Source organism: Homo sapiens, chromosome 17 (assembly GCF_000001405.40).
Source record: "Homo sapiens chromosome 17, GRCh38.p14 Primary Assembly".
In the NCBI taxonomy this organism is placed as follows: domain Eukaryota; kingdom Metazoa; phylum Chordata; class Mammalia; order Primates; family Hominidae; genus Homo; species Homo sapiens.
This window is the reverse complement of record NC_000017.11, coordinates 29,617,180-29,638,659: the sequence shown is the minus strand read 5'-3', so window position 1 is coordinate 29,638,659 and position 21,480 is coordinate 29,617,180. Positions and strand designations below refer to the sequence as shown.

At 49.7% G+C, this 21,480-nt stretch overlaps 2 protein-coding genes across 30 annotated transcripts in view, besides 5 other annotated features; both read left to right on the top strand.

The window, feature by feature from the left end:
- The window catches only part of SSH2 (slingshot protein phosphatase 2), a 304,291-nt gene extending 291,569 nt beyond the window's left edge, over positions 1–12,722 (top strand). For all 11 annotated transcript variants that reach the window (XM_047436967.1, XM_005258058.4, XM_047436968.1 and 8 more), the window contains 2 exons: positions 1,858–2,692; positions 5,729–12,722. In XM_047436967.1, coding sequence (XP_047292923.1) covers positions 1,858–2,692; positions 5,729–7,819 — 2,926 coding nt within the window. In that variant the 3' untranslated portion in view covers positions 7,820–12,722. The remainder of the gene's footprint in view (positions 1–1,857; positions 2,693–5,728) is intronic.
- Positions 4,166–4,730: an enhancer, noted in NCBI's record as "NANOG hESC enhancer chr17:27960948-27961512 (GRCh37/hg19 assembly coordinates)". NCBI's record gives its function as "activates a minimal SCP1, AML or CMV promoter by ChIP-STARR-seq in primed H9 embryonic stem cells {active_cell/tissue: H9 hESC(primed)}" and the evidence as "EXISTENCE:reporter gene assay evidence [ECO:0000049][PMID:30033119]".
- Positions 13,948–15,147: an enhancer, noted in NCBI's record as "P300/CBP strongly-dependent group 1 enhancer chr17:27950531-27951730 (GRCh37/hg19 assembly coordinates)". NCBI's record gives its function as "activates an origin of replication core promoter dependent on BRD2, BRD4, P300/CBP, MED14 and CDK7 cofactors, with strong dependence on P300/CBP, by STARR-seq in HCT116 cells {active_cell/tissue: HCT116}" and the evidence as "EXISTENCE:reporter gene assay evidence [ECO:0000049][PMID:35650434]".
- Positions 15,748–21,480, top strand: part of CORO6 (coronin 6) — an 8,151-nt gene continuing 2,418 nt past the window's right edge. For 4 of the 19 annotated variants that reach the window (XM_011525386.4, NM_001388433.1, NM_001388431.1 and 1 more), the window contains exons 1-6: positions 15,748–15,972; positions 17,237–17,436; positions 18,887–19,009; positions 19,471–19,600; positions 19,689–19,870; positions 21,041–21,160. In XM_011525386.4, the coding sequence (XP_011523688.1) occupies positions 15,762–15,972; positions 17,237–17,436; positions 18,887–19,009; positions 19,471–19,600; positions 19,689–19,870; positions 21,041–21,160 (966 nt within the window). In that variant the 5' untranslated portion in view covers positions 15,748–15,761. Of the gene's footprint in view, positions 15,973–17,175; positions 17,437–18,886; positions 19,010–19,470; positions 19,601–19,688; positions 19,871–20,027; positions 21,419–21,480 lie in introns of those variants that run through there. The other 15 variants (NM_001388434.1, NM_032854.4, NM_001388437.1 and 12 more) reach the window with 12 other exon arrangements.
- Positions 15,935–16,084: a silencer, noted in NCBI's record as "silent region_8385". NCBI's record gives its function as "represses an Ori minimal core promoter by ATAC-STARR-seq in GM12878 lymphoblastoid cells {active_cell/tissue: GM12878}" and the evidence as "EXISTENCE:reporter gene assay evidence [ECO:0000049][PMID:35858748]".
- Positions 18,055–18,349: an enhancer, noted in NCBI's record as "tiled region #12866; HepG2 Activating non-DNase unmatched - State 20:ReprD, and K562 Activating DNase matched - State 8:EnhW". NCBI's record gives its function as "activates a minimal TATA promoter and a strong SV40 promoter by Sharpr-MPRA in HepG2 and K562 cells {active_cell/tissue: HepG2 | K562}" and the evidence as "EXISTENCE:reporter gene assay evidence [ECO:0000049][PMID:27701403]".
- Positions 19,327–19,396: a silencer, noted in NCBI's record as "silent region_8384". NCBI's record gives its function as "represses an Ori minimal core promoter by ATAC-STARR-seq in GM12878 lymphoblastoid cells {active_cell/tissue: GM12878}" and the evidence as "EXISTENCE:reporter gene assay evidence [ECO:0000049][PMID:35858748]".

Below are 21,480 nucleotides of genomic sequence, written 5' to 3'. Positions count from 1 at the left end.
AGGCAGGAGAATCACCTGAGCCCAGGAGGTTGAGGCTGCAGTGAGCTCTGATCGTTTCACTGCACTCCAGCCTGGTGGCAGTGTGATACCCTGTCTCTGTGTGTGTGTGTGTGTGTGTGTGTGTGTGTGTGTGTGTGTGTGTGTGTGTGTAAAATATAGAAAGTAAAAGCCTTCCCCAGAAGTATTTCTACCTTTCTTGAAAGAATCACTATTATCAGTTTGGTGATGTTCCTCCAGATTTTTTCCTATATTATTCTAACATAGACACTAATTTCAAATGTGTTTGAGGTTTTTTTTTTTACTGAATAGTATACCTTGTATATCATTCCACTAAAATACCTGACAGGTTTTTTTTTTCCTTTTAGTTTTTTTTTTTTCTTACCACAGAAGATTTCTGTAGACCTGACAGCTTTTAACAGCTCCACAGCATATAGTTGTATGGATTATAATGTAAATCCTTTTTTGTTGTTGTTTGGTGTCTCATCTTTTAGTATCACAAATAGTGTCATAGTAAATATCTTTTTTTGTTTATTTGTTTGTTTATTTGAGATGGAGTCTCGCTGTGTCACCCAGGCTGGAGTGCATTGGTGCAATCTCGGCCCACTGCAACCTCTGCCTCCCGGGTTCAAGGAGTTCTCCTGTCTCAGCCTCCCGAGTAGCTGGGATTACAGGTGCCCGCTACCACTCCCAGCTAATTTTTGTATTTTTAGTAGAGACGGGGTTTCACCATGTTGGCCAGGCTGGTCTCGAACTCCTGACCTCAAGCGATCCGCCCGCCTTAGCCTCCCAAAGTGCTAGGATTACAGGCATGAGCCACGGCAGCCGGCCAGTAAATATCTGTATATATCTTTCTTTATTTTTATTTTTTATTTTTTTTTTGAGACAAGGGATCACTCAGTCACCCAGGCTGGGTGCAGTGGCACAATCTCAGCTCACTGCATCCTCACCCTCCTGGGTTCAAGCAATCCTCCCACCTCAGCCCCCTGAGTAGCTAAGACTACAGTCATACGCCACCACACCTGGATAATTTTTTATATTTTTGTACAGATGGAGTTTTACCATGTTGCCCAGGCTGGTCTCGAACTTCTGGGCTCAAGCGATCTGCCCGCCTCGGCCTCCCATGAAGTGCTGAGATTACAGGCGTGAGCCACCTTACCTGGCCATATGGATATCTGTGTGTACTTGTAGTAGTATTCCTCCAAGAAAAATGTATTAAGGAAGAATTGTTGGTTAAAGGGTTAAATTTGGAGAGCTATTGCCAGATTTCAGTCTTTAAAATCTACAGTTCAGCTGGGTGTGGTGGGGGGCCAATGTGGGCATATCACTCGAGGTCAGAAGTTCAAGACCAGCCTGGTCAACATGGCGAAACCCCATCTCTACTAAAAATACAAAAATTAGCCAGGCATGGTGGCATGTTCCTGTAATCCCAGCTACTCGGGAGGCTGAGGTGGGAGAATTGCTTGAACCTGGGAGGCAGAGATTGCAGTAAGCCGCTGCACTGCAGCCTAGGCAACAAAGCGAGACTCTGAAAAAAACAAAAAACAAAAATTCTGAATTCACATTCCTCCTACCAGTATATGAGAGGGCTTGTTTAGCCATACCATCATCAACACTGGCTGTTACCAACCATTTTAATTCCTGTCAGACTGATAGGTAAAAAAAACTCACACTCATTTGTTGTTGTTTTGCTTTGTTTTTTGCTATTAAATTGTCTTTTCAAACGTTTATTGCCTAGTTCCATTGAGCAATAACAAAGCATTTTTACAAGTTAAGATTTATCTGGGAGTGTTTTCCTGGGAGGGTGTTGATTATCTTTACAAACCAGATTAAGATACTTCCTGTGTATGTCCTCCACAGCAAACAGCGGCATAACAAACTATGGAGATCTCATTCAGATAGTGACCTCTCAGACCACCACGAACCCATCTGCAAACCTGGGCTAGAACTCAACAAGAAGGATATCACCACCTCAGCAGACCAGATTGCTGAGGTGAAGACCATGGAGAGTCACCCACCCATACCTCCTGTCTTTGTGGAACATATGGTCCCACAAGATGCAAATCAGAAAGGCCTGTGTACCAAAGAAAGAATGATCTGCTTGGAGTTTACTTCTAGGGAATTTCATGCTGGACAGATTGAGGATGAATTAAACTTAAATGACATCAATGGATGCTCATCAGGGTGTTGTCTGAATGAATCAAAATTTCCTCTTGACAATTGCCATGCATCCAAAGCCTTAATTCAGCCTGGACATGTCCCAGAAATGGCCAACAAGTTTCCAGACTTAACAGTGGAAGATTTGGAGACAGATGCACTGAAAGCAGACATGAATGTCCACCTACTGCCTATGGAAGAATTGACATCTCCACTGAAAGACCCCCCCATGTCCCCTGATCCTGAGTCACCAAGCCCCCAACCCAGTTGCCAGACTGAAATCTCAGATTTCAGTACAGATCGCATTGACTTTTTTAGTGCCCTAGAGAAGTTTGTGGAGCTCTCCCAAGAAACCCGGTCACGATCTTTTTCCCATTCAAGGATGGAGGAACTGGGTGGAGGAAGGAATGAGAGCTGTCGACTGTCAGTGGTAGAAGTAGCCCCTTCCAAAGTGACAGCTGATGACCAGAGAAGCAGCTCTTTGAGTAATACTCCCCATGCATCAGAAGAATCTTCAATGGATGAGGAACAGTCAAAGGTAAAAACTGTCTTTATAGTTTTCCGCCTAATGAAGTTCTCTTCAAAGGTAAATTATTTGGGATTATGTTATGTTTGTTTTTGATGGAGAGTCTGGCTGAGGTTTTCTTTGAAAACTTAGGGTTTAAATATTTTTTAAATAATTTGCCTTTTGGGAATTTACCTTTCTGGTGTCATTGGAAGCACTTCTAAGAGGGGATGACAGAGGAAGGAGTGAGCCAAAAACAAGTGTCCTGGCTGAACAACGAGAAGTCCAAAGATGACCAGGCGCGGTGGCTCACACCTGTAATCCCAGCACTTTGGGAGGCCAAGGCGGGCGGATCACAAGGTCAGGAGATCGAAACCATCCTGGCTAACACGGTGAAACCCCGTCTCTACTAAAAAATACAAAAAATTAGCCAGGTGTGGTGGCGGGCGGCGCCTGTAGTCCCAGCTACTCGGGAGGCTGAGGCAGGAGAATGGTGTGAACCCAGGAGGCGGAGCTTGCAGTGAGCCGAGATTGTGCCACTGCACTCCAGCCTGGGCGACAGAGCAAGACTCTTGTCTCAAAAAAAAAAAGAAGTCCAAAGATACGCAGTTAATATCAGATCTTAACAAAAAAATGCCAGGGACTCAGATGCTGCCTGAGTGAGAGCTGTGTCTCTGAGAAGATAGATTTGTTTGGGAAATTCTTATTGTCTCAGAAAAGTCAAAGACTAGACATGTGTGAATAGTTGTTACAGTAGCAACTGCTTCCCATGCTGAGTTCCTGCTATTAATAATGTGCTGGCCGGGCGCGGTGGCTCACGCCTGTAATCCCAGTGCTTTGGGAGGCCAAGGCGGGCGGATCACAAGGTCAGGAGTTCGAGACCAGACTGACCAACATGGTGAAACCCTGTCTCTACAAAAAATACAAAAATTAGCTGGGGTGTGGTGGCGCATGCCTATAATCCCAGCTACTCAGGAGGCTGAGGCAGGAGAATCACTTGAACCTAGGAGACAGAGATTGCAGTGAGCCGAGGTCGTGCCACTGTACTCCAGCTTGGATGACAGAGTGTGACTGTCTCAAACAATATCATAATAATAATGTACCTGACTTCTTCATCTCCAATGCTGTGGTACTCAAGAATCAAGGGGAAGGCCAGGCTCAGTGGCTCACGCCTGTAATCCCAGCACTTTGGGAGGCTGAGGCAGCCAGATCACGAGGTCAAGAGATCAAGACCATCCTGGCCAACATGGTGAAACCCCATCTCTACTAAAAATACAAAAATGAGCTGGGCGTGGTGGCGCGCACCTGTAGTCCCAGCTACCTGGGAGGCTGAGGCAGGAGAATCGCTTGAACCCGGGAGGTGGAGGTTGCAGTGAGCTGAGATCATGCCACTGCACTCCAGCCTGGCAACAGAGCGAGACTCCGTCTCAAAAAATAATAATAATAATAATAATAATCAAAAGGAAATGAATTTGCCAGCAGACAGAATCCTAAGATTCTTCTTTGTGGCATAGGAGCTCTTACAAGCCATCTCAAACCAGGAAAAGAATCACTATATCGCATCAATTCTAAGACTCATACTCATATTTTGACACTTCTGACATCTTATATACAGCAGTGTCTTAAATCATTACAATACAGTAGTTGGGAAATAAACTGTGACAGATTGACTCTAACATACCAAACTTCACCTAATGATTAGTGGAGCTAGTCATAGATTCTTTGCCTCTCCTGATGTCTGTCTGCTTATATTTACCGCTTTGTCCGTTAACGATTTGTTCTCTCTCCTTAACTACCCCACTGTGATTCTTGACTCTGCTTTTGTCTTTTCACCACATGCAAAGCTGTGCCCCTGTTTCCTTTCTACTGAGAAGGCAGGATGCTTGTGCTCTCCTTTGGACCATTGACTGTAGCAGCACTGACAGAAATAGCCTTTCTGCAAAGTCCCTGGTCATATGAGCCCTCCCTCCATGGCCCATGCACATACTGGGCCCACTGTGGCTTCTCTCCCATTCATGGCAAGTTTGCCTCTGCCTGATGTCATGGCACATTTCCCCCAAAGGCATTACTGACCTTGTTAGATTGTACTAACTCTGACTCTTTTGAGGGAGAAAAACCAGAACAGTTCCAGGGAAATATACTTTGAAGGCTTATAAAAATGTTAACTAGATTGATACTCATAATGATACTACTTTAAGAGGTGTCCAAGGGCTATTCCCAGATTTTGATATTCTTTTGTTTTTTTTACAGTAGGACCTGATTTTGCATTGGTCAGTATTCTTTGGCCTTGTTCTAAATCCACCTGGGAATTTATAGCTGGTAAAATAGTAAAATATTAGAGAGTTATGGTTTCTAAGTTTGCTAAGGCATGTGGCTGTGTAAGCCAAGTAAACCTTTCCCAGAAGGAACCATGTGAAACTTAGAGATTATGTAGTCAGACAGTGCATTCTCCCTGCTTGTAGGTACTGGGATGTTGCTGCTAGGGGAAGCAGTGAGAGGATTTGGGTGAAAGCTAGCAAGACAGAGGAGTGAAAGAGAGCAGTGAGTCTCCAAATCAGACATCAGGTGATAGCCTCGTCCATCTTGCTCTATCACTGGGACATATCTAAGGACATATCTTAGCCCTTAAATGGAACTCTTTCCCTCAGATAGGTTAGGATCAAACTAGAAGTTGATAGGCCACGGGGGAAAGGTTTCATTTACTATAGTATGGCCTGAACCTGGAGGCTCATAGTCTTAGGAAAATATAGATTATAGGAGCCTCCAAAAATATTTGCTGTTCATTTGGGAGCAAAGTATTGGATTGGAATTCTGCTTGAGTAAACAGAACAGAAAGTTTAGTAGAGAGTAACACAAGCTATAACAAATGTTATGTCTAGCCTTGATGAATCCAGTTTTTTCTTGTAGTCTGACAAAACAGATGGGCAGAGTGTGGTCCCAGGCACTCCATGATTTGTATTCTCTTAGTCAGATAGGTTGTCCTGGATCAGAGGATTAATAAGCAGAAAATCCAGCATTTTCAATTAGACTACAGTTTGCCATAATCTTCTCACTACTTTCTCTTCTTAGGCAATTTCAGAACTGGTCAGCCCAGACATCTTCATGCAGTCTCACTCGGAAAATGCAATTTCAGTCAAAGAAATTGTCACTGAAATTGAGTCCATCAGTCAAGGAGTTGGGCAGATTCAACTGAAAGGAGACATCTTACCCAACCCATGCCATACACCAAAGAAGAACAGCATCCATGAGCTGCTCCTTGAGAGGGCCCAGACTCCAGAGAACAAACCTGGACATATGGAGCAAGATGAGGACTCCTGCACAGCCCAGCCTGAACTAGCCAAAGACTCAGGGATGTGCAACCCAGAAGGCTGCCTAACCACACACTCATCTATAGCAGACTTGGAAGAAGGGGAACCAGCTGAGGGGGAACAAGAGCTCCAGGGCTCAGGGATGCACCCAGGTGCCAAGTGGTACCCTGGGTCTGTGAGGCGAGCCACCTTGGAGTTCGAAGAGCGCTTACGGCAGGAGCAAGAGCATCATGGTGCTGCCCCAACATGTACCTCATTGTCCACTCGTAAGAATTCAAAGAATGATTCTTCTGTGGCAGACCTAGCACCAAAAGGGAAAAGTGATGAAGCCCCCCCAGAACATTCATTTGTCCTCAAGGAACCAGAAATGAGCAAAGGCAAAGGGAAATACAGTGGGTCTGAGGCTGGCTCACTGTCCCATTCTGAGCAGAATGCCACTGTTCCAGCTCCCAGGGTGCTGGAGTTTGACCACTTGCCAGATCCTCAGGAGGGCCCAGGGTCAGATACTGGAACACAGCAGGAAGGAGTCCTGAAGGATCTGAGGACTGTGATTCCATACCAGGAGTCTGAAACACAAGCAGTCCCTCTTCCCCTTCCCAAGAGGGTAGAAATCATTGAATATACCCACATAGTTACATCACCCAATCACACTGGGCCAGGGAGTGAAATAGCCACCAGTGAGAAGAGCGGAGAGCAAGGGCTGAGGAAAGTGAACATGGAAAAATCTGTCACTGTGCTCTGCACACTGGATGAAAATCTAAACAGGACTCTGGACCCCAACCAGGTTTCTCTGCACCCCCAAGTGCTACCTCTGCCTCATTCTTCCTCCCCTGAGCACAACAGACCCACTGACCATCCAACCTCCATCCTGAGTAGCCCTGAAGACAGAGGCAGCAGCCTGTCCACAGCCCTGGAGACAGCAGCACCTTTTGTCAGTCATACAACCCATTTACTGTCTGCCAGTTTGGATTACCTGCATCCCCAGACTATGGTTCACCTGGAGGGCTTCACAGAGCAGAGCAGCACTACAGATGAGCCCTCTGCAGAACAGGTTAGCTGGGAAGAAAGTCAGGAGAGCCCTCTCTCCAGTGGCAGTGAGGTGCCATATAAGGACTCCCAGCTAAGTAGCGCAGACCTAAGTTTAATTAGCAAACTTGGTGACAACACTGGGGAGTTACAGGAGAAAATGGACCCATTGCCTGTAGCCTGTCGACTCCCACATAGCTCTAGTAGTGAAAACATAAAGAGTCTCAGCCACAGCCCCGGTGTGGTGAAGGAGCGTGCTAAAGAAATCGAGTCTCGAGTGGTTTTCCAGGCAGGGCTCACCAAACCATCCCAAATGAGGCGCTCAGCTTCTCTCGCCAAATTAGGTTACTTGGACCTCTGTAAAGACTGCTTACCAGAGAGGGAGCCTGCCTCCTGTGAATCCCCTCATCTCAAACTGCTTCAGCCTTTCCTCAGAACAGACTCAGGCATGCACGCGATGGAGGACCAAGAGTCCCTAGAAAACCCAGGTGCCCCCCACAACCCAGAGCCCACCAAGTCTTTTGTAGAACAACTCACAACAACAGAGTGTATTGTGCAGAGCAAGCCAGTGGAGAGGCCCCTTGTGCAGTATGCCAAAGAATTTGGTTCTAGTCAGCAGTATTTGCTCCCCAGGGCAGGACTTGAATTGACTAGTTCTGAAGGAGGCCTTCCCGTGCTACAGACCCAGGGACTGCAGTGTGCATGCCCAGCTCCAGGGCTGGCCGTGGCACCCCGTCAGCAACACGGCAGAACTCACCCCCTTAGGAGACTGAAAAAGGCAAATGACAAAAAACGGACAACCAACCCCTTCTATAATACCATGTGATTCTGAGCCTACACATGTGACTTTCTAGAAGAAATGTTTGTAAAAGGGGCAGGTGTAATATGTAAGGAACATGCACTTTATTGGTTAATTTTATAATATTTTGGTCATTTTACTGTTTCTGGTGCATGCAGGGTTTGGGTGTTTTTCAGTGTGTATGTGTGTGTATATGTAAGGGGAAAGAGAGATTGATCTGGATGGCAAGACCGTTTATCATTTTTTATTTAAAAAAATCAAACCTCAAAAAAGTCATTTTCAGAGAACACCTTTATCAAAGGCAAATTGCTGTTTTTCAGTCAGCTGCCACCTGCTTCTCATTTTGCCCTCTGAGAAAAGGCATGGTTTCTTAATTGAGGGAAGGAAGCAGATTCGGAGGGGTGGAGATAAAGCTGGGGATTGGAGATGTTCCCCTGCCTTTGTGATGATGGTTTGGTTTCCAGACCTGAGGCATCGAATGGGCTAAAGGTCAGCCAGAAGTCAGAGGGCTCTCAGCCTTCATCCAGCCGCAGCCCTTTAGAGTTCCTGAAGGAGGCAGGTTCCGCTTTGCTTTAAAAGAGGGTCTTCCGGTGTTCCAGAGTGTATCGTTACAGTAAGACATGATAATGGCCGGCTCTGCAAATTTATCATATAGTTTTTTTCCCAAGAAAATTATTTTTGAAATTAAAACAGGACCCCAAATGAAATCCAAGTGGTCTTCTGTAGAGGAAAGCATGATAAGAGGAGGAAGACATAAAGTTGGGGGTGGAGAGGCTGCTGCCCAGAAACTGCTGGGTTGGTGGGATCCACACAGATGGGCATCTTGGCTCTCCCTGCCAGAAAAATGTGCTCTGCAGTGTCCTCCCAACTGAAAACAACAGTGACATGTTTGAAAAGCAGCAATCGAAAGTCAGTGTGTTCTTGTAAAATGAATATGTATGTAGGGTTTTAACCCTTCCATTACTTGAATAATTCTTTGGGCCTTCTGAGTTTAATGGCCATATTTTCTTCCAGTTTATTTTCCTTCCCCATGCTGTTGTCCCCATGCTGCCTATTTTTTTAAATTTCATAGATTATATTTGAATTGTTACATATGTTTAACATCCATTGAATGCAACGTTTTATTTTTGGTATTATCACTGTTAACACTTTTTTTTCCTTTTCCTGGAAGGTTTGTCATTTCTCTAAAGTTTGTACACAGTATTTATGTACATAATATTGTCACTGTCTTAGTGTCTTGTTCATGTTGTAGGGTAATTTTGATTTATTCTTTTTAAGAAGGAGTAGAGTTGCAACTGGAAAACACAGACACCAGAAATGAAAGTGTTGGGTGTTGATAGGAATCTGTACAATATGTTGATGGTGGCTGTAGTTGTTTAAATGGAGACTTCCAATCACCAGCTCCTGCCAAATTATGCATTAGTAACTTTTTCCTCAGAGACACCCCTAAAGGCTCCCATTAGGTCACAGCGTGACTGAAAGCTGATTTCTCTGTGAGACTGAAATCCCAGAACATTGTTTGCCAGTATCTCAACCACAGCCAGGAAGTATATGTGAGTTGCCCAGAGTGGAAGCTCCTAGTAGAGGCTGAAGGCCACAGGGGAGGCCTCAGCCAGGGGCAAGTGCCCACAGTGACTCCATTTAGGATGCTGTCGTTTTGCTACTGTTGTGGAGATCCTTAACGCAGCAGCGCCTGTCATAAACAAGCCTCTTGTAGCTTCTTACAGAAAACAGATTTAGTCTAGCATGAAACACCTCTGCATCTCATTGAAACTGAAGAGGCTTGCAGATTTGCTTTCGTTGATGTCCACGTTACTGAGGATTGACTGAGTATAGACTGGAGACAGGTTTTTGGCTTATCACAGCACTGAGGAAAATACAAATGCACAGACTGTCAGCATGATGTCAGAGGCCAGAGTTTGGTGGGGGCAGATGGCAGGGCGACCCAAAAGATGCAGAAAAGGTAGACTGGGGCCACTGGGTCTTAAGAGGAGCTGTGAAGTTGTGTGGAAGCCAAGGCTGGGTCTGACATCCCTGCCAGGAAGCAGGTTGGACAGAAACCACTTGCTAAAAGCGTCTCTATGGTGCAGTGATTATGTGTACCCTGTGCTGTTGCTCAGTAGTCTCCTTGAATGTTCAAGTATCTCATCCACTCAGTTTTGTGATTCCTGGATATTTGTGTGTTGTAAAGTGTTTTGTTAGGTGGTATGAACCAATGTGAGGAGGCTTGAGACAGGGTTATGGATTTCCAGAGCTCTTCCATGTAGAATACCCTGCCTTCTTGAAGCAGTTCCACCACCAATATGATGGGGAAGGGCAGGAACTTATGGCAGGGTGGGGAGAGGGTTTGCCTGGAAGTTAAGAGAGTGGCATCCACTTGTGGTAACCCCTTACGATGATGACATCCCACACACTAAGAGGTACAAGCAGGACCAAAGTTTTGGACTGTTCCCTCTTCTCCCCTCCACTGTGTTTAATGTTCACTCACTGCATTAAATAACAACAAAGATGGGACAAAACCCACTAATACTGTGGGGAAAAAAAATTTTCAAGAGCAGAGGAAAGTCTTTCTGCCTTTTTATAATTACTTTTTTTATCATTTAATTTACCTGCCTAAATAAACATCTTCTACAGAATATCTGTCATTCAACCATGCCAAGGAGTTTGTGCCAGCCTTTTCAGACTCCCAGAATTGGGTGTTCCTGGGTTATTTACATAGCTGAGCAGTGTCCAGGGGAGGTGCGCAGTGAACTGTCAAGGACTTTCCAGACTGTCTTCTCTTCAGACTTTTATAATCTCCAGTGGCATCTTTCCCTTTTCTTTTGTTCATGACCTGACCTGAAGCAGCAGATTTGATAGACTGGCAAAGATGAATAGGAAAAACTTTGACTCTTGCCCAGTGCCTGCCTGCCTCTCTCTCTCTCCTCTCTCTCTCTCTCTTTTTAAACCACCATAGACTCTCACTTATTTTGGAGGAGTGTATGTGCATGTGTACACATATGTACATATATAAAAACAGTTGATGTTTTGGTGTATGGGGTAAAAGCCCCAGGAGCATACAGAACTTGAGCTGAACCTGGTCAGTAGAAAGGGAAACCCCAACCCTTTCTTGATTTTTGGAGACACCCAGGACTAATGGATACTGTAGTAGACATGTAGTACTATAGTACCGTAATATTCATCTCTCCTCATTTTAGTTGCCTTTCAGATTCTAAATGTTTGGGATCATTCCTATCATCTTAGTCTCTTCAGGATCTTTAGTATTTTCCTGGTTCTGAGGAGGCTTGAGACAGGGTTATGGATTTCCTTGTTCTGTGTCTTTATCCCTACTGATAGTTCCTCTTTCTCATTTTGCAAACTACCCAGAGCTCCAAGGACAGCCTGAAGATCTCAGTGCCTCAGGCTCTGAGGTACTCTGCTCACAGGCCCCAGACAGATGCTGTTGGGTAAACTCAAAGCTTCCTATGAGAAGCTTCTGAGATGTAGCAGGTCACAGAAGTGTTCACCTGTTTCATCTGAGGATTTCAGTTCTGAAGTGATCTAGGCATGTTTGGTAAAAATGTTTTTGTGAGAGTTCTTTTTTTAAGAAAGCATTATGCAAAAAGTCACTTTTAAGGGCATTTAAAAATTTTTAAGTAAAGCCATTCTTTGGCTTTTTTGGACTATTTGTGGATACTTTGTTTACATTTTGAATATTAAAATGTGCATCATCTTGTCGGCCATGCAGTCCTGCAGGCATCAGTGCCCTGGCTGTCCTGTGAGTCCTCATGCAGAGCAGGGCCATCATGGTCAGCCCTTGTGAGTAAGTGGGTATACGCTGAAGCTGACTTCCGTCTGTGTCCTGCCCTCCCATCCAGCACTCTCTATGGAAATAGTTGTCATTTCCTCAGTGATGGTGTGTCTTATAGTGATGGTTGTAATGGTGAATGGCTAGTGTCATTTTGTTTAATTTTGTTTTGCTTTTTGATGGTGGATAAGATGAAATTTTAGCTGTTTCAGCATCAATCCAACTTAAAAGCATCTTGGACTTTGTTTTCCCTTCCAAACTAAAAGATCAAGGCATGTATTAGACACAAGCATATTTGCTGCCTCAACTCCTCTGACACCCATATTAGGAAAAGGCCTGCCACCAAAGCAGGAAGCTGCACACTCCTAACCCTTCTCCCAGGGTGTGGGGTCCCTTGACGTCATGAAGAGCTATTGCAAGGTGCTTCTGTACTTTTCCAGCCTGGAAATGGAGGGTGACTGGCCCTGGCTCCTGCTATGAGAAGATAACCAGCCTCATTTTCTCAGTGCCCCAGAGGTCTAGGATAGGATTTCTAAACTGGAATCATCCTTAATCACCTTGAAGATCCCTTAAGAGGCATTTGACTGGTGCTGCCGTCTGTGTCCTCAAAGCAATGCTGGTGGCAGCGTCCTGTGTACACATGCAGAGCTAATACCCAAACTAAAAACTGGGTAACTGGCCCTGAAGTGCTTCCCAATCAGTAAGCCCACAGGGAAATGTTTGATTTTTATGTTCTGTTGGATTTTGGTTTGCTTGGCATATCTAAAGGTGCCTTTACTTTTCTTTTTTTTTTTTTTTCTTTCTGCTTTGTTTTGTAGGACTTGTTCTAACATGGAAAACAAGTCCAGAAGACTCTCCTCTGACTGTTACCTTTGCCCCAAGCCACCCCAAACTTTTATGCTCATGTTTTATTAAAGCAGGTGCTCCCTGGAATCTCTGGGACATTTTTGAGGCATTTGAAGCAGAATATAGAGTGGTCTCATCTCCTTCCTTAATCTTCCTGGTGGTTGGGATGTTCCACTTGTATCATAGATTTTTTTATTACAGATATGCTCCACTGTTTTTAAATGTGAACTTGTGCGCAAATGTGCAGATTCAATGTTCTTGTTACAGATTGAATAAATTTTTATTTTGAAGATGAAACGTGTACTTCATCAGATGCAACAAAGGAGGGAGGTGCTGGAGAAGGTGGGAGAGTCAGAAGAGGAAACACAGTGAACACCAGTAGTTTTCAATGATTGATCCCAGTCATGTCACCCTGAAGAGAGAGCTGAGTCCCCAGAAATAAATGAAACACCTCAGCCCACTGAAAAATGTCTAGAAATGGGACATGAACATCATGAGATATTTAGTGGTGCCATTCATCACATACAAGGCAGGACTACCATCTAGGGAGAGCTCAGTTTCCAGTTCCCAATTGCTAACAAAATTTGAAGTCCCCGCCCCCCTCAAAAAAAAAAATCACTGCCTTGAACTAAAGTCAGCCTGCTTCATTCTGAATCATCCATATCAAGTGGGAGGGGCACAGTGCTGGTCTTTAGCTGGAGTGCATGACGGTGAAGGTAAGGTCTTTCACAAAATATTCTAAGGATCCCTGGGATCCCTGACCAATCTAGATAAGTTCAGTCTTGGTTTTCTAGCCAAAGCAGATGGACCAAATCATGGCTAAGTTGCGAGCTACCTCATCCAGAAAATGGCTTCCTAAAAGATGAAATCCATGGCTGTCTTCTATGGATTGCCGTTCAGAGCTAACAGTTCAAAAGGGAGGCACGAAGCCCAAGTAGCTTCTCTCCCTGATTGGTTCTTCCTGCCTTAACTCTGCCCACTCACAGCTCTGTCAGGCCTTGGCAGCCAGAAGAAGGCTAGAGGGCAGGGCTGAGCTACGCCAGGCCCAAGCAAATATCTGAATCCCTGTACCCAGAAAGCACTGCTCTTCCTAGATGATGGAACTGAAGGGAGCACGCATTGAAGGATTCCTGCTTCCTAGTCCCAAGCGCTTCCCTCTAGAAGGGAGTCTCCTGTTCTCTTTAAAGAGAAGGAGGGTGGGGGTAGGGGAGATGCCACTTCAGAGGAGGCAGCACATAAAATCCCTACTCTGCTAAGGAGTGGTGCAGAGTTGGAAAGAATCTGACCCAATCCTGTTCAGAGAGCTGTAAAAATATGGCGATTGAGCCAGGACTGGAACCAGTTTTTTAATTCATTCCAGGCATCCTTTCCTCTGTGCCACACAGTATAAACTCTCAGTTACGTTTTAGCTCAGCACTTGTGAGATAAAGTGGCACTGTCCTTCAGGGAGAGACAGAAATGCATGCTGCTGAAAAGCAAGAACCAGATGCCAGACCACGTGGGTAAGAATCATAGCTACATCAACTACCAGTTGAGGTTGTGATGGGTAAGCCACCTAACCTCTTTGTGGCTCCATTTCCTCAACTGTTAAATAGGGATAACAACAGTACCCACCTTAGAGGATTGTTTTTTGGTTTTTTGTGCGTGTGTTTTATTTGAGACAGAGTCTCATTCTGTCACCCAGGCTGGAGGGCAGTGGCATGATCTCAGCTCACTGCAACCTCTGCCTCCTAGGTTCAAGCAATTCTCGTGTCTCAGCCTCCTGAGTAGCTGGGATTACAGGTGTGCATCACCACACCTGGCAAATTTTTGTATTTTTAGTAGAGATGGGGTTTTGCCATGTTGGCCAGGCTGGTCTCGAACTCCTGACCTCAGGTGATCCACCTGCCTCAGCCTCCCAAAGTGCTGGGATTACAGGCGTTAGCCACCCGCGACCAGCCTAGAGGATTGTTAAGAGTATGAAATTAATACGTATAAAGCCCTTAGTGCCAGTGCCTAGCACATAAGCATGGGTTATTGTTGTAAAGGAGCAACTGAGTCACTCAGGTATTTTCCTCCTAATCATGTGCCTGGAATCTTTAGGTAAAAGAGAGATGACTCACATACCCTCATACCCTGCCCCAGCACCCCTACGCCAGGAGTTATTTCTGGAGCACTCGTAACAGTTTTTTATTCTGTTCCCCTACAAGCCACTGACTCTTGATTTGATTCTGTCCCTACAAGCCACCTGGACTCTTCCTGAGAAACAAAGGAGCCTCGTGGGCCCTTCATGGTTTCTACCACCTTCCCTCCCTTTCCTCCCCAGTGCTGGTTCCTGCCCTTCAGAAGGCTGTGTTCCATTCACTCACTCCCAGGTGTGCCCTGGAGGGTGGGAAGTAATAACTGGCCCCAGATGCCCTTATGATCCAAGGGAAGAAATCCAGGCAATGTGCAGACACTGGGTAGACTGGAGCTACGGGACTGGCTGGTCTTCACTGGCTGTATTTTGATCAGGTTATCTTTAATCTCCTTGACCTCGGTCAACATTCAGTTCTGTGAATATTGGGGGAGACGGGGGAAGCTTACCTGGAACACAGTCGGGCGCCAATTCAAACAAGGCCCAGAAAACATTAGGAGTCTGGCCTCTGAGTTGGCTTCTCTGACCCCTAAAATGTGACTAGAGACCGGTGCTAGCCTCTTCCCCCTGCATCTGGGAGGGGAGGGAGTGTCAAGGTGGGTTCACTTTACACTCGGTCCTCCCCTTGTTCTTTCAGCTGCTTCCTGCCCTGCTCCATGGAATCTCATCTAATGGGGTGAAATGCCTAGCACACAGCCAGCATTTTAGGTTTCTCAAATGATCGCTATTGCCATTCATAACAATAACTAACATTCACAACCCTGTGTCGGGTGCCCTCTCACTTGCCCTACATCAGGATCAGCCTGGGTCCTCATTCTCTAGGGCCTCTTTCCCCCAGGGAGGCCTGGAAGTGCAGTCCCGCAGTCCCGGCCGATCGGGACAGCTAAATTGGGAGCGCGATTGAGGCTGGAATGCGGGTGGAGGCACCTGGTCTCCCTCGGCTGCCCGCTCTAGGGGCGCACGCCCCCTCGCCCGTTCCCTCTCCAAGCGTCCTGCTCTAGGTCTGCGAACCCGAGCCTCCCCAGCCTACCCGGGAGTCATGGAGGGAGGGAAGCAGCGTGCGCACCTAGCACACAGCTGCACATTTATTTTCGATGGTTCTCCGAGGCCGGCGGAAGCTGGGAGGGGAGTCGGGGTCGCTCGACTTTCCCGCCGCTGGAGGGGGCGGGGCAACTTGGGCTCTGGCCCCGCCCCTATGCTAGCCCCGCCCTCTTAGGTTGATGGCAGCGGCAGCTGGGGCTGCAGCGGCGCCGGGCTCTAGAGAGCCGCAGGATCGGCCAGAGTGCGGAGCTGGACACCCGGGTCCCAGATACTACAGACACCCGGAGAGGTGGCTCCTTCGCCCTGAAGCCTTCCTCGGCCCCCTACGCACTCGGGCCCCTTCCGCAGAGGATTCGCAGCGTGAGCGCCCCGCAGCCCGCTCAGGACCAGGTACCCAGCCCCCCACACCCGGCCGTCACCGCAGCCAGCGGAGCGGGCGGGGTCCCTGAGGGGCAGAGGTCTGCGCCTCCTCCCCCCGCGCCGCCAAATTCGGTTTCGGGCGGGGAGGACGTGGTGTCTATATTTGGCCGGACAGCAGCCAGCGCTCCCGGAGGGCGCAGACACCTCGTCTCGCAAGAACGCAGTGTCAGGGCAGCAGGCTGAAGAAGGGTGCAGGGAGGCCGGGCCTCAGGCTCGGGGCCGCAGACGCGCCTTGAAGGGCACACGGATGCTGGGGCTGGGGTGGGGCAGGAGCCACTGGCTGGGGCTTTGGGAGTGCTCAGTGTGTCCTCTAGGGAGACCCTAGCTGGAGAAAAGGCACCTCACCCTCCCCACCCCTGCAAATCTGGCTTGGCCGTGGCGGGGGCAGGGGTGGAGGATGGGGTTGAAGACCCCACCCCTAGAAGAGTTCACTAGGAAGAAGGCCCAACCAGGGCAGAGGACCCAGAGGAGAAACCGGACAAGCCTATGGTAGGCAAAAGCCAGAAGACCATGATCAGGGCTTCCTGGAGAAGCCAGTGCAGAAAGGAGTGGGAGAAGAGGGATCCACCTCACTCTGTGCTGCCACCCGTCCCCCCACAAGGCATGGGATGAAAACAGTAGCAGAAAGGACTCAGATTGGTGGACAGGAGGAACTTCCCCCTTGGCAAAATTTTAGGAAAAGGCAAAACCCCATCTGCCTGAACTATTCCAGAGATGCGAGTTCGGTATCCTGTGGTGGCTGCAGTCTTGGCCCCATACCTGGCTTTAAGCCAAGATCCAATGGTCAAGTCTTCTGCTTCTGGACAGGGTGCCTCTGGGAGCTACAACCACGTCCGTGAAGAGATGCTCATCAAGGCTGGCGGTGGTGGGGGCGGGGGGTGCAGGCAGTGTGGCATTGAGGCTCCTCCCAAAAACATTCCAACGTCCAGAAAGCTTTCAGTCTGTTAGGCTCCACAATCCCCTCAGCCTGGGTCTCTGTGGAGAATTCAGGCCCCAAATCCTAGCCACTTACATTAAACAGCATTTTACACAGCAAAATAACTTTCCCATACTTTGACCACCTTGAAGAAAGCTCCCTGCTTCTAGGACCAGACACTATATGGATTTATACCTGACTCCTGACCACATAACCCTTCTCATCAGCCACCCCTCCACTCCTCCTCCCTCCCGCAGCTCACAGGACTAAGGACCAAAGGCATTTCTGGGCACTGAGATCCTACCTCTCTGCCTGCAGCTATGAGCAGACGTGTGGTTCGGCAAAGCAAGTTCCGCCATGTGTTTGGGCAGGCAGCAAAGGCCGACCAGGCCTACGAGGACATCCGTGTGTCCAAGGTCACATGGGACAGCTCCTTCTGTGCCGTCAACCCCAAATTCCTGGCCATTATTGTGGAGGCTGGAGGCGGGGGTGCCTTCATCGTCCTGCCTCTGGCCAAGGTGAGGGATCAGGGAAAGGAAGCAAGTGGGAGGACACTAGCTGGGGCCCCTGGGAACTCCTGAGCCTTTGTTCTCACCTAGTTCCATTCCATAGTCAGGAGAAGCATCTGTGTGGATTGGCTCCTCCCTATTCCCCAAGCCCTCAAGGACCAGAGGGGAGGCCACCCCACCCCACCCTAACATCAGGGTGGCTTACTCCCACTCCCTAGCCCTCCCACCTCTCCATGCACCACCCCATTCCCAGCAGGGACCAGGAGGGGAGCCGGGTGATGGAGATGGTTGGGACACAGCACAGCCAAGCCTGGCCAGATTCCATCACTGCCTCTCCTAATGCCGCATCCCCTCATGTTTTGGGTGTGGAGAACCTCCTCCCTAGCCCAAGATGACCATTTGATTAAGTCACATCCCAGAGCAGCAAACTGAGGACAGGGTCAGGCTCTATCCAAAGAGTCCCTGGTTACCTCCAAGGACACTTGCAGTGAAGTAGAAAGAAAGGGAACGGAAAGGAAGGGGGACATGACACATAAAGCCAGAGCCCTCCCTACCCTCAGGATGGGGACCAGGCAATGACTACCACGTTAGCTTCATAACCTTAAGCCCCTTGACCATCCACATCCCAAGGATGACTCTCCCCCAACCCCCAAGGTATGACCTTGACCTGGATTCTGGCCCCTACACCTTGTTAGGGTAGGCTCCACAGGTGGCGGGGTCAGGAAGAGGCCTGAAAAAGCCAGTGACTCACCCCAGACAATGCAGACATCATCCTGGGACACAGCCCCAGGGCTCAAATTTCAGCCGGAGCTGCCTCCTCCCCCAATATGTCTGCTCTTTCAGTACCACATAGCCACCCTCTCCCCCGCTGCCTGGTCTGGACCAGTGTCTGCCCCTGCAGAGGTCTCAGAACCCCCACAAGCAGCCTGTGAAGACCAAAAAATAGATGGGCCCCCAGCTCCCATTTGGGGATAGTAGGCACCAGGACTGCTTGCTGCTTGTGGTTCCAAGGTAAAAGTGGTTCACAAGGAAGAGATCTGCCAAGGGAGGCCAGGAAAGGGCTGTCCAGCACTACACTATTATCTCACCTTGACCTCTTCCACCAGGAGATTCCCACAGACACTTCAATAGGAGAACAGGCTGAAGAACAGCCTCCTCCAAGTAGGTGTCTTTGGAAGAGCACTGGGCTGGAAAGTTCAAATCTCAGCTCTACAAGTATCTTGTTGTGTGTCCTTGATGAGGCCATCTTACCTCTCTGTGTCACAGTCCCTAATATTAAATTATTTCAACTCTGCCTTCAGTAAAGTGCAGGAAGTGGACTGGATGGGGTTAGAAGTGCAGAGAGGGATCTGCAAAGAGAAAATAGGTAATAAGGAATCGAGATGTAAGCAGATCTGCTACCCACTCCCCAAAAAACACACAGGAGAGTAGCCCCACATCTTCTTCTCCAACCCCTCAGACAGGGCGAGTGGATAAGAACTACCCACTGGTCACTGGGCACACTGCCCCTGTGCTGGATATTGACTGGTGTCCACACAATGACAACGTTATCGCCAGTGCCTCAGACGACACCACCATCATGGTAGGAGCCAGGTGGCTACTGCTGGGCAGTTGAGCAGGGGAGCAGGGAAGGCTGCCTCACCTGTGCTGGGGAAGGTGCTAAGGGTGGTAATAAGGGAGGTGCTGGGTCCCAGGGCCCTGCCCTGCCCAGCTCCTGGACTATTTTTAGCTACATGCCCACCCCCTCCCAGGATGCACTGCTTAGGACTAATTATAGCCATGGCCAACTTGGTGCCTGGAGAGCAGCAGGGCAGTGCTCTGAAGTCTCCCTGCTGGAGTGAATGGGAGGTCTCTGGAGAGCTGGCAGTGCCCCCTCCTGGCTCCCAGCTGCTTCTGTTCTAGGCATGCACCACCACATCTTGCCCTGTATTTGACCCTTACCACTCAAGAGAGCCAGTAGGGTTAAAAAAAAAGGTAGGGAAGGAGTGGAGGGACAGGGTGGCTCCTCATTCCACCCACCATATACCTTTTCTTCCTACCCAGGTGTGGCAGATTCCAGACTATACCCCCATGCGCAACATTACGGAACCTATCATCACACTTGAGGGCCACTCCAAGCGTGTGGGCATCCTCTCCTGGCACCCTACTGCCAGGAATGTCCTGCTCAGTGCAGGTCTGGGGGCTAAGGAGGGGTCCCCCATAGATGGGTGGGTGGTGGCAAAGGTGGGACCCAGGTGACCATGCCTGGCCACTCTGGGCAGGTGGTGACAATGTGATCATCATCTGGAATGTGGGCACCGGGGAGGTGCTGCTGAGCCTGGATGATATGCACCCAGACGTCATCCACAGTGTGTGCTGGAACAGCAACGGTAGCCTGCTAGCCACCACCTGCAAGGACAAGACCTTGCGCATCATTGACCCCAGAAAAGGCCAAGTGGTGGCGGTGAGTGCCTGGCCTGGCCACTCCCCAGAACCCCTTGACCAGTGGCCAGCTGTCAGCACCCTTGTACCCACCATTATCAGAGCCCCTGGTCCCGGCTTTCACCTGTCGCATCCCTGCTCCAGAGACTAGCCCCCTTCCCCCGTCTCTGCAACCACAGGTCTCTGCCCTAAGTAAGCCCCCAGCCTGCAATTCTCTGCCCGGCTCCTGTTCCCTCCCCTCCCTTGCATCTCAGAAGCTCAGAGAAGGGCTCCTCGCTTTGGGATTGAGGAGGGGAGAAGCTGGAAACTCCATCCTCCCACCAGAACCTGCATGAAACCTGAGCTCCTGGACCCCTCTCCTCTCAGCCGGCACCCAGACGCATCTTCCAGGGTCTGGGGCCTGACACTGGCTCGAGGGCTGGCCCTTTCTCCTTGTGGACCCGCTGGGCGGGGGATGGGGCAACCCTCGCGCGTTGCTTATCCCAGCCGGATGCCCTGGGAGGGCGGCGGCCCTGGCCTCGCCAGCCTCAAGTCTAACCTGGGGTGCGGGTGCGTGGGCCGCGTGCATGTCTGCGTGGAGCAAGCGCGCCGAGAGCGGTCGGGGCTGGCGCCGGGGCGCTCTAACCCACTAACCCGGCGAGCAGGAGCAAGCCCGGCCTCACGAGGGCGCCCGCCCGCTGCGGGCTGTCTTCACCGCAGACGGGAAGCTGCTCAGCACCGGCTTCAGCAGGATGAGTGAGCGGCAACTCGCGCTCTGGGACCCGGTAGGCCAGGCCGCGCCGGGCGCGCTAGCTCGCTCCTTCTCTGGGTCTGCCGGGAGCGCCTTCCCGGGCTGTGGCTGGCGCCCAAGAGGCCAGAGCGGAGCGGGGAGCTCCCATTCGGGAAAAGCCTCGCTGCGACTCCGGGGAGCCAGCAGACACCCCTGCTCTAGGGATCGGCCTTTGAGCGCGCTTAAGGGTTCGGGATCGGCTGAGAGCCGCGTGCCTCCTGCTCTCTCCAGGCCCGGATGCTCTCCAGGTCAGGGGCCAGACGTGGCCCCGCAGGAAGCTGAGTGCTTAGGCCCCATTTGTCTCTTCCCCGCATCCGCTCCTCCACCCCGGACACCCAAGTCAGCAAGCTGGTTGCTCATCCCTCCATGCTCCTCAGGGCAGGCAGCTGGGTGATGTCCCTCCCTGTCTCCCCCTCCCCCCAGGAGAGGTTTGCGGCCCACGAGGGGATGAGGCCCATGCGGGCCGTCTTCACGCGCCAGGGCCATATCTTCACCACGGGCTTCACCCGCATGAGCCAGCGAGAGCTGGGCCTGTGGGACCCGGTAACGCAGCTGGAGGCTTGGGGTGTGTGCCTCGGGGACTGGCATCACGGGAGAGTGGCCAGGCGCCCCCCACCCGCAGGGCATGCCCACCTGGACAGGACTGAAGGCTGCTGCCACCTCTGCAGCGCCTGCCATTCTCACACCCACCCCTCTGCCCAGTTTTGCTGCGTCGCGTGAAGGATCCTGCGCTGGCGCCCCCACCTGGTGATGCCGAGTCCCTGGGGGTGGTTTGCTGTGACTGCATGCGGCGCGCAGCGGGTATATGTGCAGGGGAGGAGGAGCTATGTGCGCAGGGGAGGAGGAGAGATGTGCCCAGGGGA